Genomic DNA, 14,477 nt, shown 5'->3' with positions numbered 1-14,477 from the left:
TGTGGGGATTTTTCCATTCTGTTCCTTTACTTCCTTGCTGTGGGATGTTCTAACCATGAGCCCAGGGTGTGGTTTATGAACTGTCAGGCAGTTTGTTCCCTCCACTTATTTAGGAAGTTTGTTCTCATTTAAGGGAGACTATAACCACCCTATGTAATCTACTTTATAAGGACATTAGATGGTTTAATAGACTGGCTGAATCCTACAGCCATCAATATTGTGGGGCATAGATGTAAATGAGAGGAGCAAATAGATTTTGACATTTTGAAAGGAAATGTACCATAGGATTTTAATCAGCACATTTGCCAACACCATGTTCCCTTTGAAGAAAGGTTTCTTTAGAAAGATTCTTCAAGTTGTTGGTATCATGGTGCATTCTTTAAAGTGGCAGCATGGCTTGAGGTTCTAGTGGATGTTTAAGATTCACCCTCTCACTGTGTGACCTTAGATGCACTCTCTGGCATTCATTTACTCTAAATGTCCTGGCAGAATCCAAAGGTAATGTCTACATGGCCTTCTTAGTTTCTTTAAAGGAAGCTACTTGATAAACGGTGACTCATCAGTTGTCAAGTCTTTGATACTTAATGAGCTGCCACTCATTAAACAATCAAACAGCATGAATTTAGTGATCATTAATTTAATATGAGAACAATGAATAAGACTGTGGGGAAAGGGGACAAATAGAAATAAATTAATTCAAGTATTTATTAAGTATTTATGAGTACCTATGCTCTAGACTCTATACTAGATGCTGGAGATTTTTGAAATGAGCAATAAAAAAAAAAAACCAAAAACCAAAAACCAAAACAAAACAAAAAAACTCTTACTCCAGGCAAGAAAAGGGGGCAGGGAAAAGGGGGACCCAGGTAGAGGGAACAGCATGTGCTGTAACCCTGGATTCAGAGGGATGCCCGGGTCTTAGTCTCCACTTGACCTACCTCCTACCCCACAGCCTGGAGGGACCTCCCTCCTACAAGCCGCTGACCCCAAAAGAGAAGCTGGAGGAGCAGGAGATGCCCTCCCAGCTTTTCACTCTGGTGGCCTCAGAGCACAGCCCACTCAAGACCCCCTACTTTGACGCTGGCGCCTCATGCACTGAGCAGGAAATGCCTCGATACCATGAGCTGCCCACCTTGGAAGAGCGGTCAGGACCCTTGCACCCTGGAGCCACAAGCCTGGGGTCCCCCATCCCGGTGCCTCCAGGGCCACCTGCTTTGGAAGACGTTTCCCTGGATCTAGAGGATGAGGAGGGGGAGGAGGAGGAAGAGTATCTGGACAAGATCAACCCCATCTATGATGCTCTGTCCTACAGCAGCCCCTCTGATTCCTACCAGGGCAAATGCTTTGTCATGTCCCGGGCCATGTACGTGTGAGCTGCCATGCGCCTGGTGTCTCACATCTCACCTGTTGATCCCTTAGCTTTCTTGCCAAGGATCTAGTGCCCCCTGATGTCTGGCCAGGCCACTGTCAGTTAACACACATGCGTCCCATTTGTGATTTCTACCTTGGTGGCTCCACTGTGACCCCTAACCCACGAGCCCAGAGAAATTCACCATGATAATGGAATCCTGGCAACCTTATCTCATGAGGCAGGAGGTGGGGAAGGTGCTTCTGCACAACCTTTGATCCCAAGGACTCCTCTCCCAGACTGTGACCTTAGACCATACCTCTCACCCCCCAATGCCTCGACTCCCCCAAAATCACAAAGAAGACCCTAGACCTATAATTTGTCTTCAGGTAGTAAATTCCCAATAGGTCTGCTGGAGTGGGCACTAAGGGCTCCCTGCTGCTCAGACCTGAGCCCTCCAGGCAGCAGGGTCCCACTTACCCCCTCCCCACCCTATTCCCCAAAGGTGGGAGAGAGGGGATTCCCCAACCCAAGGCAGGGTTTTCCCAGCACCCTCCTGTAAGCAGAAGTCTCAGGGTGCAGACCCTTCCCTGAGCCCCCACCCCCACCCCAATTCCTGCCTACCGAGCAAGCAGCCCCAGCCTAGGGTCAGACAGGGTGAGCCTCATACAGACTGTGCCTTGACGGCCCCAGCCTTGGGAGAAGAATTTACTGTTAACCTGGAAGACTACTGAATCATTTTACCCTTGCCCAGTGGAATAGGACCTAAACGTCCCCCTTCGGAGGAAAGTGGGTCATCTGGATTGGGGGTAGCGATTGATACTGTTTTGTAAACTACATTTCCTACAAAATATGAATTTATACTTTGGAAAAAAAAAGAAATGAGAGATACAACTTTTTGTCCAGGAGAAGCTCAGACTCACATAAAAGACACATACTGAAGGCTTTACATTTGCTTAGAAAAACAGATTACATACCCATGAGACAAGATAAGAACACTACAGTAAAAATATCTACAGTAAGGCTTTATTAAACCAGTTGCCATTGTTAATGAATTTGAGATAACTGGGATAGGAACTTTCTGCTCTGTTGGTGGAAAATATTAAGCAAGCTATGCATTTCATTACTAAAAGGTTTAGTATAGTACATTTCTGTCCTCCTGAAATTATCTCACTTAATTAACCTTTTTCTCAGAACTATGTTGCATCATGTTTATTAAGAACAATGGACTTATACTCATCCTAATGATAGGCCTACTGTCCAGGAAGACTTACTTTTTGGAAAGCAAATCCTATAAAAGGGCAGACGAGTTTTGTGACAGATGACAAAGAGATACTGTAGGTTTTACAACCATTTGGGAAAGTTATTTTAAAATATAATTCTTTTTATTATTTACTATCTGAAAAATACCTAGACAGTGAAAAATTATCAGTAGGTTGTATTTAAAGTTTTTAGTACAAGTCAATTATTTTGGGTTTGGCACAAACCCAAGGAAATGTTTTTATATATAGGGTCTAGTTTCCAAGACTGTCCACAAAAATCTAGGTAGCTTGTAATATGAATAATCAGCCATCTGAATCACAGTATTTTCCAAATTGTGCCAGCTGTTACATTCATGAGAATCTGTGAGTTTCATAAGAATTTTTAAATCCTTTGTTTTCATTTTGACAAAAATATAAAAATTAACATACAGTAATCATATTCTGTATCATCTAAATGAATGCCCTATTATGTGATTCTTGAAATCATGTTTATGATCACCTCTATAATTGTGTTTGTCTCTTTGTTGTCATTTGTTTTTAACAGTTTTAGGGGTTTACTGTATACACTGGTTAGTAGCTGGCTGCCATTTGGTTGACTAACATTAAAGTTATAATGACACAATTCTTTCATATTTATTATTATCCTCATGTTGATTTTGTTTACGTGTTATGAGAAAAAGCTCAATTTTAGTTTTTAAGATTAAATTTAGATTTTAAAAATAAACTGATGCATTAGGCAGAACAATGTAGACTAAGGATAAAATAACAAAGGCAGACAAAGTAGATAACTGATGCAGTTTTGTTAAGGGACAGGCCAAATTAAATCATAAATCCGATTAGATAAAGATCTGTATAGATGAACTCTGCAGTATTTCAAGGAGAGAAAAGTAGTGGGAGAATTTAGTCATCACAGGACATGTTAAGCATGTTAAGCAACTTAATAGTTGGCCCACCATAACTGCCAAAGTGAATCCTCAGTGAAATTTTTTAAATTTATAATTAGAGTTATATTTTACAGTGTCTTAGCAAAATAATAGACCAGTACTTATTTTTGCTCTAACATCAAAATAATAGACCACTATTCATTTTTGCTCTACACATCATTTTTAAAATTGGAAAATTTTTCATAAAAATCCAGATTTCTGGCTTTTGTTTGTTTGTCTGTTTTTTGTTTTTTAATGAGAAGGCATGCAACTATAGGCCTGCAGCCCCCTGTGGCATTACAAGAGCTGGGCAGTGACTGTTTCTTATACAAGGCCTGCTCGTCTCATATACATTTGCTGCTTATATTTCACAAGCATTAGAGTCTGTGCTTCCCTATCTAACCCAATGTTGGATATTTCCCAGGATGTAGTAATAAGTGTTTTTGGAGAAAGGAGTCTGTAGCTCTGCATATGTTGTTTGTGAAACAAGTATCTGTGAGTAGGGGCTTCTGCTGAATATGGCTCCTTTCTAGGGCACTATCACACTTTGTTCTTTCTGTAACCATGGTTTGGTATATAGATAGAAGTAAAAATCAATCTTTAGAAGCAAATTTATAAATTAATTCACTGCATTCATAGACTCAGAGGCTTGCCTGTGAGAAGGAATCTGAGTGACCTCTCCTTCCTTCCCTACCCCTCTTCCCACCACTGGCATAATGCCTGCCTGTTATTTGTATGCTTCCTTCCCTATTATTACTGCTTATTCATTTTACTTCGTTAATGTTTAAAGACCATTGAGGTTATTCACTGAAAAGGGCAACACTTACCACCGACCATGCATAGGTGAACTCAGATGAAATTTTTGAGGAGCTATTTTGAAAGCATGGTATTTCCAGAGTCTGATTTATCTCTATTTCTATCGTATGGTTGCTGTTCCATTCATCTGCTGTAACTGTAACAAAACATAAGGTAGAAAATATGTGAATCTCTGATTGGTTTGTAAAGTGCTTTTTATCAAAGAGACAAAAACAGTTTTAGTATAGGGATTCATCTGTCCTCAGGGTACACCTATGAAAAAGAGAGGCAAACTCCCACGATAGCCCTCATTGTATAAGTGGCTAAACAGAGTCACTGAGGAGCACAGAATTGTTGCTAAACACTGAAAAATTACAAGGAAATGACCCCAACAGAATCAAACTCATGATTTGGCATGTTCTGCTTTGGCCCCAAATTGGTGCTTTAATCTTCAGGTTCCATTTCCTTGATCAGATAGAATACAAAACTTCATAACCTAGCCTTAACTGTCTTTTTATTTTGTTGGACTTTATTTTTTGGAGTAGTTTTAGGTTCACAGCAAAATTGAGCAGAAAGTACAAAGTTCCCAGTATATCTACTACCTCTACCCACCCACAGCCTCCCCCACTGTGGACATCCTGTTCCACAGCGGTACATTTGTTACAATTAACGAACCCACACTGGCACTTCATTATCACCCAAAGTTCATAGTTTACATTAGGGTTTACTCTTAATTTTGCACATTCTATGGGTTTGGACAAATGTATAATGACATGTGTCCACAGTTATAGTATCATACATAATAGTTTTCCTGCCCTAAAATTCTGTTCTTTTTACAGTCTTCATATCTAACAGTCTTCCCAGAGTTTATAAACATTCCTCCCACAAAGGAATGACACAAACATATATAAGGAAACTTTGAGGAAGCAGTGTTAATTATTTTCATTTTTAAGGTAATAGAAGATAAATATCCATTTTGTAGTCTCTCCTATTGGGAAAGTTTTATATACATACATATAAATTTGTGACTAAACTATAGCATCAAAAGAAGTTTACAAATAAAGGCAACTCTACCATCTAAATATCCTAAAAATCTTATATTCTTTTTTCTATATTCAAATCTTGTTTGCATACATGCATGTATTCTCATAGTCTGCAATCCTGTTTACCAATGAATGTTATATATGTTGTTACTTTAGAATGTTTTGTGTGATTCTTGAACTACAGGTGATTTAAATTTATGGGGGCTTCATGTCATTTTATCATATATACTAATCATCATTCATTTAGTCATTTCCAATTATTGAATCATTATGCTCTTTCAGTTTGGACTTTTTACTTTATTTTAAACCATTACATGCTATATAGCAAGGATCATCCTCATGCTAATAGCTTTCTTCTGACCATTCAGCTACTTAAGATAAATTCTCTGAGGTATAATTAATGGATCATTGAGTATGAACATTCTTATTGCTACTAACATTGTGAATATATATATATATGTTATAAAACGGTATAACTTTTATACAGTATTAGTCCATCAAAATAAAAAGGCAAAGGCTAGGTTATGAAGTTTTATAGTCTTTCTGATCAAGGAAAAGGAAACTGAAGATTAAAGCACCAATTTAGGGCTAAAAATTATATATATAAATATATATATAAATATATGCTATATAACAGTATACATTTTAATGGCATATTTCTGTTTATAAATTTTATATCTAGCCTTTAGATCTTTGTTATATTTTAATCTCTTATCAATATCATCTATCTTCTTTACCAATAACTCTTTCCTCCTCCTTTTCCTAATTAAAACCAGATCTTCCCATTAGGGTACATCTTCCCCACAGCATTTCCAAATAGTGGTTATATATTTTCTTGCACTCTAATTCCTCAAGTTCTGGAGGTGGGATCAGTGCTTTCCTTGCTCTCCACTGCTGTTTCCAAATAGTACTCCAAGCCCATAATTGAAAAAAAAGACCCCTGTCCCTTAAGGAGAAAAAAAATCACTTAGCTATCACAGCACTTCCAAATGGAGTTGTTTCTATACCATCTCTACTATCATCATTTTTTGCCATATTTGCATAAGACCATTACTACTATCTAATTTTATTCTTAAATTATTGTAATTGTTTTACTTATATATATTTATTTAAAATATACTGAATATCTCTGAAGTCCATGCAATCCAAATATGTTAGTTATATTTTAATGAACATCAGTCAAATACATAAGTATTACATTTTTGTAAATTTTGTCCAGAATCTGGGAAGCTGGCAGTATAAGTGGCATTACTTTTTGAATATACCTGAAACCCTCTATAAAAACAAAGAAGATAAATAGGGTAACAAAACTAAAAATACATAGATCATATCTACACGAACACTAAATAACAACACATCCCTCTTAATTGGTGGGGAAAAATCCACTAAACCACTGTGCTATCAGTAACTGTGCAGAAACAGAGGAAGATCAACTGGGCTTCTGATGGATCTTAGAACTAGAGAACCCATACCACCTCCCTCTGCCTAGTAACAGGTAATCACTGGAAAGACAGGTAGATTAATCCAAGAATAGTAGCTCAAATGGAGAAGAGAGTTTGCGGGCACCAAATCACCAGTGTCTTCAAGAAAAATAAGAAAAAGGTTGTCAGTGCTGGAGCAGAAAGGACTTCTCAGGACACATGCCATGGGGAGAAAAAACTGCTGGACATAGAATCCAATAAGACAGGACAGGTCCACTAAGAGAAATCAAATAGGCAATTTAGGTAAAAGTGAGGGATAGAAGCAAAGGAAATACACTCAGAAAGTACAATGGTAAATTACTTACCTTGAAAATAACAGAAGAGGCGGCTTTAGGGATACTGAACACTCTAGAAAAGCTAGGCTGGCCCACTCCTCTGTGATAAGAATGCATTTAACTTAAGCATGAGTGATAGAAAGGGAATGAGATAGAATAACCTATAAAGATACCAGAAGCAAAAAAAGAATAGAGAACAAAATAACATTCCTACAACAATGAGAGCATATTATCAAGACACGACAACAAAGTAAATAAAAACTATAGCCAAATTATTCAAAATGAGCTAAAAGAAATAAAATGATGAAATTGTGCACAATTTTGGAAAGTTCCCAATGAGTCCAGTGGAAGAAAAAAGCTTACAAAACATAGGTAACGAAATTCGAGAAAGGGTTAGAAATAATAAATTTTTAAAAATCACTCCAGAAACTAAGACAAAATTAGAATGAAACCAGAAACACAGAAACACAAAAGTTAATTCATTGAAGTTCATTTTCAAAATAGAATGAGGGAAATTTTGAAATAAATAAAGCAATATGTAATTATAAAAAAAGAAAAAAGTTGATAAAAGAGATTCAAAGGAAATGATATGCAAAGAAGATAAAAATATATGTACAATAAAAGACATTAAAGAAAAAAGATGAAAGCAATGGAACAGAACAAATATTAAAAACTATAATTCAAGAAAAATATAATAAAATTTAAAATGACTAGAAACTGCACATTAAACGATTATACTGCAAAATAGGAAAATAGACCCAGAATGGACAACTTTAAGCATGTTCATATAAAAGTATCGAGCAAAGTCAAACATGGGGAAAGAAAATCTGATTGTTATTAGCTTTTTGATAGCAGTCCTCTGCCAGAAAACAATAGAGTAACATAGTTAATATACTCAGGGAAAGAAAATGTGAGCCAAAGATTTTATATTCTTTTTTAATAAAGTCTTTTTTAATAAAGACTACAGAAAGATGTTAGAGTTACACAAGAACTCAGAGAATATTGCTGCTATGAGCCTTTCCTGAGGATTCTCCAATAGAATACATTTCAAACTGGAGATGCATTTACATAAAGGTTAGTGGTAAATGTTGATTATCTATTTACCTTTAGCACTAAGAATATATAATTGTTACAACAAAGGGAATAGTGATGAATATATGTTTTTAAATAAAGATACAATATAAATATCAAAATATGGGGTGTAGGAATGAGAGACTTCTGGTTATGGGGACATGAGGAGGTCAGTAAAAACAGACAAGTACAAAACTGGGGAAATGTGTTTAAAAAAACAACAACAATTTTAGGGCCGTGGAAATTGACTAAAGGTAGTCATTAAATTGCAAAGCATTTCTTATTGAAAAATCACTAGAGCTTTAGTAAAAACAGCAGGAGACTTCAATCTTTTTGCCTCAGCTCCATCCATTCCCTTCTCCAACCTGGTCATTAAGAAATGTAGTTTTAGCCACATGGAGCTGGTTGCAAAAACCAGCAGCTTTTTTTCCACAATGGGCAGACTTAAATTAGGTCTAGGGATAGAAACCTTTCACCTTTTCCCATAACAGAAGCAAACTTCGTAGGTGCCTAAAACCTGAAGCTTGGTTAGTTTGGGTTTGTATTCCCATCTGGAGTGAGTGGCTGCTATGATTTGAATGCTTCTCCCCTCTGAAATGCATGTTGAAATTTGGTTGCCATTGTGTCAGTATTAGAAGGTGGAACCTTTGGGAGGTGATAGGACAGAGCTTTCATGAGTGGCATTAATGCCATTATAAAAGGGCGAGTTAATTCCCCTTTTGTCTCTTGCCCTTCTGCCTTCCACCATGTGAGGACATGGCATTTCTCCCCTCCAGAGGATTTAGCAAGCAGGCCCTCACCAGATGTCAATGGCTTGATCTTGGACATTTTCAACCTCCAGAACTGTGAGAAGATAAATGTCTATCCTTTCTAATGTATCAGTCTGTGGTATTCTGTTAGAGCAGCACAAAACAAAGACAGTGCTAGACCAGAAAGACCTTTAACATGGAGATCCTGGAAACTAGAGTCATGGAATGGCTAAGATAAAGACTTCACAGATTATACCCTGACTAGGAAACTACACACTGAGTCAGGGAGACCCAAAAGAGCGTAGCAAAATGTAAAAGCCCAGGAAGTCTGGACAACTGGCTGCAACTTTGAATGCACTCCCTGATTGACACACAAATCTATGCATAAAGAGAGGAAGCCTAATGGATTTAAGTATTTGAGCATAACTTTTGCCAAAATCATGGCTGGACCAATAAAGTGGCTTTGCCAATGCAGGGGCAACTTCTTGCAAGCCAAATTAAAAAATAACTATTAGTATAAAAATCGAGAAGAGAGATCAATGGCCTTGCATTGCAAAGGAGACATTCAATTTAAGCACAGATAAGTTACTAAAATGAAACAAAATGAACCTAAATAAGACATAATATAGAGTTGCAACATATATATATATTCTATAGTCTGTCTATAAATATATATATATTTTTTAATGTCCAGTTTTCAACACAAAATTATGAGACATGGAGGAATCAGGGATGTGTGACCCATAATAAGGAAAAAAGGTAATTGCAGCTGAATCTGGGTGGACCCAGGTGTTGAATTTAAGAGACTTCAAAGAAGTTGTTATTCGGGGAGGAGCCAAGATGGCCGAATAGGAACAGCTCCGGTCTACAGCTCCCAACGTGAGCGACGCAGAAGACCGGTGATTTCTGCATTTCCATCTGAGGTACTGGGTTCATCTCACTAGGGAGCGCCAGACAGTGGGCGCAGGCCAGTGGGTGCGCGCACCGTGCGGGAGCCGAAGCAGGGCGAGGCATTGCCTCACCTGGGAAGTGCAAGGGGTCAGGGAGTTCCCTTTCCGAGTCAAAGAAAGGGGTGACGGACGCACCTGGAAAATCGGGTCACTCCCACCCGAATATTGCGCTTTTCAGACCGGCTTAAAAAACGGCGCACCACGAGACTATATCCCACACCTGGCTCGGAGGGTCCTACGCCCACGGAATCTCGCTGATTGCTAGCACAGCAGTCTGAGATCAAACTGCAAGTCGGCAGCGAGGCTGGGGGAGGGGCGCCCGCCATTGCCCAGGCTTGCTTAGGTAAACAAAGCAGCCGGGAAGCTCGAACTGGGTGGAGCCCACCACAGCTCAAGGAGGCCTGCCTGCCTCTGTAGGCTCCACCTCTGGGGGCAGGGCACAGACAAACAAAAAGACAGCAGTAACCTCTGCAGACTTAAATGTCCCTGTCTGACAGCTTTGAAGAGAGCAGTGGTTCTCCCAGCACGCAGCTGGAGATCTGAGAACCGGCAGACTGCCTCCTCAAGTGGGTCCCTGACCCCTGACCCCCGAGCAGCCTAACTGGGAGGCACCCCGCAGCAGGGGCACACTGACACCTCACAAGGCAGGGTATTCCAACAGACCTGCAGCTGAGGGTCCTGTCTGTTAGAAGGAAAACTAACAAACAGAAAGGACATCCACACCGAAAACCCATCTGTACATCACCATCATCAAAGACCGAAAGTAGATAAAACCACAAAGATGGGGAAAAAACAGAACAGAAAAACTGGAAACTCTAAAACGCAGAGCGCCTCTCCTCCTCCAAAGGAACACAGTTCCTCACCAGCAACGGAACAAAGCTGGATGGAGAATGACTTTGACGAGCTGAGAGAAGAAGGCTTCAGACGATCAAATTACTCTGAGCTACGGGAGGACATTCAAACCAAAGGCAAAGAAGTTGAAAACTTTGAAAAAAATTTAGAAGAATGTATAACTAGAATAACCAATACAGAGAAGTGCTTAAAGGAGCTGATGGAGCTGAAAACCAAGGCTCGAGAACTATGTGAAGAATGCAGAAGCCTCAGGAGCCAATGTGATCAACTGGAAGAAAGGGTATCAGCAATGGAAGATGAAATGAATGAAATGAAGCGAGAAGGGAAGTTTAGAGAAAAAAGAATAAAAAGAAATGAGCAAAGCCTCCAAGAAATATGGGACTATGTGAAAAGACCAAATCTACGTCTGATTGGTGTACCTGAAAGTGATGGGGAGAATGGAACCAAGTTGGAAAACACTCTGCAGGATATTATCCAGGAGAACTTCCCCAATCTAGCAAGGCAGGCCAACGTTCAGATTCAGGAAATACAGAGAACGCCACAAAGATACTCCTCGAGAAGAGCAACTCCAAGACACATAATTGTCAGATTCACCAAAGTTGAAATGAAGGAAAAAATGTTAAGGGCAGCCAGAGAGAAAGGTCGGGTTACCCTCAAAGGGAAGCCCATCAGACTAACAGTGGATCTCTCGGCAGAAACCCTACAAGCCAGAAGAGAGTGGGGGCCAATATTCAACATTCTTAAAGAAAAGAATTTTCAACCCAGAATTTCATATCCAGCCAAACTAAGCTTCATAAGTGAAGGAGAAATTAAATACTTTACAGACAAGCAAATGCTGAGAGATTTTGTCACCACCAGGCCTGCCCTAAAAGAGCTCCTGAAGGAAGCGCTAAACATGGAAAGGAACAACTGGTACCAGCTGCTGCAAAATCATGCCAAAATGTAAAGACCATCGAGACTAGGAAGAAACTGTGTCAACTAACGAGCAAAATCACCAGCTAACATCATAATGACAGGATCAAATTCACACATAACACTATTAACTTTAAATGTAAATGGACTAAATTCTCCAATTAAAAGACACAGACTGGCAAATTGGATAAAGAGTCAAGACCCATCAGTGTGTTGTATTCAGGAAACCCATCTCACGTGCAGAGACACATATAGGCTCAAAATAAAAGGATGGAGGAAGATCTACCAAGCAAATGGAAAACAAAAAAAGGCAGGGGTTGCAATCCTAGTCTCTGATAAAACAGACTTTAAACCAACAAAGATCAAAAGAGACAAAGAAGGCCATTACATAATGGTAAAGGGATCAATTCAACAAGAAGAGCTAACTATCCTAAATATATATGCACCCAATACAGGAGCACCCAGATTCATAAAGCAAGTCCTGAGTGACCTACAAAGAGACTTAGACTCCCACACATTAATAATGGGAGACTTTAACACCCCACTGTCAACATTAGACAGATCAACGAGACAGAAAGTCAACAAGGATACCCAGGAATTGAACTCAGCTCTGCACCACGCAGACCTAATAGACATCTACAGAACTCTCCACCCCAAATCAACAGAATATACATTTTTTTCAGCACCACACCACACCTATTCCAAAATTGACCACATAGTTGGAAGTAAAGCTCTCCTCAGCAAATGTAAAAGAACAGAAATTATAACAAACTATCTCTCAGACCACAGTGCAATCAAACTAGAACTCAGGATTAAGAATCTCACTCAAAACCGCTCAACTACATGGAAACTGAACAACCTGCTCCTGAATGACTACTGGGTACATAACGAAATGAAGGCAGAAATAAAGATGTTCTTTGAAACCAACGAGAACAAAGACACGACATACCAGAATCTCTGGGATGCATTCAAAGCAGTGTGTAGAGGGAAATTTATAGCACTAAATGCCCACAAGAGAAAGCAGGAAAGATCCAAAATTGACACCCTAACATCACAATTAAAAGAACTAGAAAAGCAAGAGCAAACACATTCAAAAGCTAGCAGAAGGCAAGAAATAACTAAAATCAGAGCAGAACTGAAGGAAATAGAGACACAAAAAACCATTCAAAAAATCAATGAATCCAGGAGCTGGTTTTTTGAAAGGATCAACAAAATTGATAGACCGCTAGCAAGACTAATAAAGAAAAAAAGAGAGAAGAATCAAATAGACACAATAAAAAATGATAAAGGGGATATCACCACCTTTCCCACAGAAATACAAACTACCATCAGAGAATACTACAAACACCTCTATGCAAATAAACTGGAAAATCTAGAAGAAATGGATAAATTCCTTGACACATACACTCTCCCAAGACTAAACCAGGAAGAAGTTGCATCTCTGAATAGACCAATAACAGGAGCTGAAATTGTGGCAATAGTCAATAGTTTACCAACCAAAAAGAGTCCAGGACCAGATGGATTCACAGCCGAATTCTACCAGAGGTACAAGGAGGAACTGGTACCATTCCTTCTGAAACTATTCCAATCAATAGAAAAAGAGGGAATCCTCCCTAACTCATTTTATGAGGCCAGCATCATTCTGATACCAAAGCCGGGCAGAGACACAACCAAAAAAGAGAATTTTAGACCAATATCCTTGATGAACATTGATGCAAAAATCCCCAATAAAATACTGGCAAACCGAATCCAGCAGCACATCAAAAAGCTTATCCACCATGATCAAGTGGGCTTCATCCCTGGGATGCAAGGCTGGTTCAATATACGCAAATCAATAAATGTAATCCAGCATATAAACAGAGCCAAAGACAAAAACCACATGATTATCTCAATAGATGCAGAAAAAGCCTTTGACAAAATTCAACAACCCTTCATGCTAAAAACTCTCAATAAATTCGGTATTGATGGGACGTATTTCAAAATGATAAGAGCTATCTATGACAAACCCACAGCCAATATCATACTGAATGGGCAAAAACTGGAAGCATTCCCTTTGAAAACTGGCACAAGACAGGGATGCCCTCTCTCACCACTCCTATTCAACATAGTGTTGGAAGTTCTGGCCAGGGCAATTAGGCAGGAGAAGGAAATAAAGGGTATTCAATTAGGAAAAGAGGAAGTCAAATTGTCCCTGTTTGCAGACGACATGATTGTATATCTAGAAAACCCCATTGTCTCAGCCCAAAATCTCCTTAAGCTGATAAGCAACTTCAGCAAAGTCTCAGGATACAGAATCAATGTACAAAAATCACAAGCATTCTTATACACCAACAACACACAAACAGAGAGCCAAATCATGAGTGAACTCCCATTCACAATTGCTTCAAAGAGAATAAAATACCTAGGAATCCAACTTACAAGGGATGTGAAGGACCTCTTCAAGGAGAACTACAAACCACTGCTCAACGAAATAAAAGAGGATACAAACAAATGGAAGAACATTCCATGCTCATGGGTAGGAAGAATCAATATCGTGAAAATGGCCATACTGCCCAAGGTAATTTACAGATTCAATGCCATCCCCATCAAGCTACCAATGACTTTCTTCACAGAATTGGAAAAAACTACTTTAAAGTTCATATGGAACCAAAATAGAGCCCGCATCGCCAAGTCAATCCTAAGCCAAAAGAACAAAGCTGGAGGCATCACACTACCTGACTTCAAACTATACTACAAGGCTACAGTAACCAAAACAGCATGGTACTGGTACCAAAACAGAGATATAGATCAATGGAACAGAACAGAGCCCTCAGAAT

The 14,477-nt window shown here is 39.0% G+C and overlaps 1 protein-coding gene and 1 pseudogene across 15 annotated transcripts in view; one reads left to right on the top strand and one right to left on the bottom strand.

Moving 5' to 3' along the window:
* Positions 1 to 14,477, bottom strand: part of CD96 (CD96 molecule) — a 123,800-nt gene that overhangs the window by 93,989 nt on the left and 15,334 nt on the right. For all 15 annotated transcript variants that reach the window (XR_007093273.1, XR_924090.2, XR_241462.2 and 12 more), the window contains exon 3: positions 4,361 to 4,485. Coding sequence is in view for 5 of the 15 variants with exons in the window: in NM_198196.3 (NP_937839.1) it covers positions 4,361 to 4,485 (125 nt within the window). In the remaining 10 variants the exon portion in view is untranslated. The remainder of the gene's footprint in view (positions 1 to 4,360; positions 4,486 to 14,477) is intronic.
* NECTIN2P1 (NECTIN2 pseudogene 1) lies at positions 954 to 1,370 on the top strand (annotated as a pseudogene).

This window comes from Homo sapiens, chromosome 3, assembly GCF_000001405.40.
Source record: "Homo sapiens chromosome 3, GRCh38.p14 Primary Assembly".
Classification (NCBI taxonomy): domain Eukaryota; kingdom Metazoa; phylum Chordata; class Mammalia; order Primates; family Hominidae; genus Homo; species Homo sapiens.
Note: the sequence above shows the minus strand (reverse complement) of the source record. Positions and strands in the feature narration are given on the sequence as shown.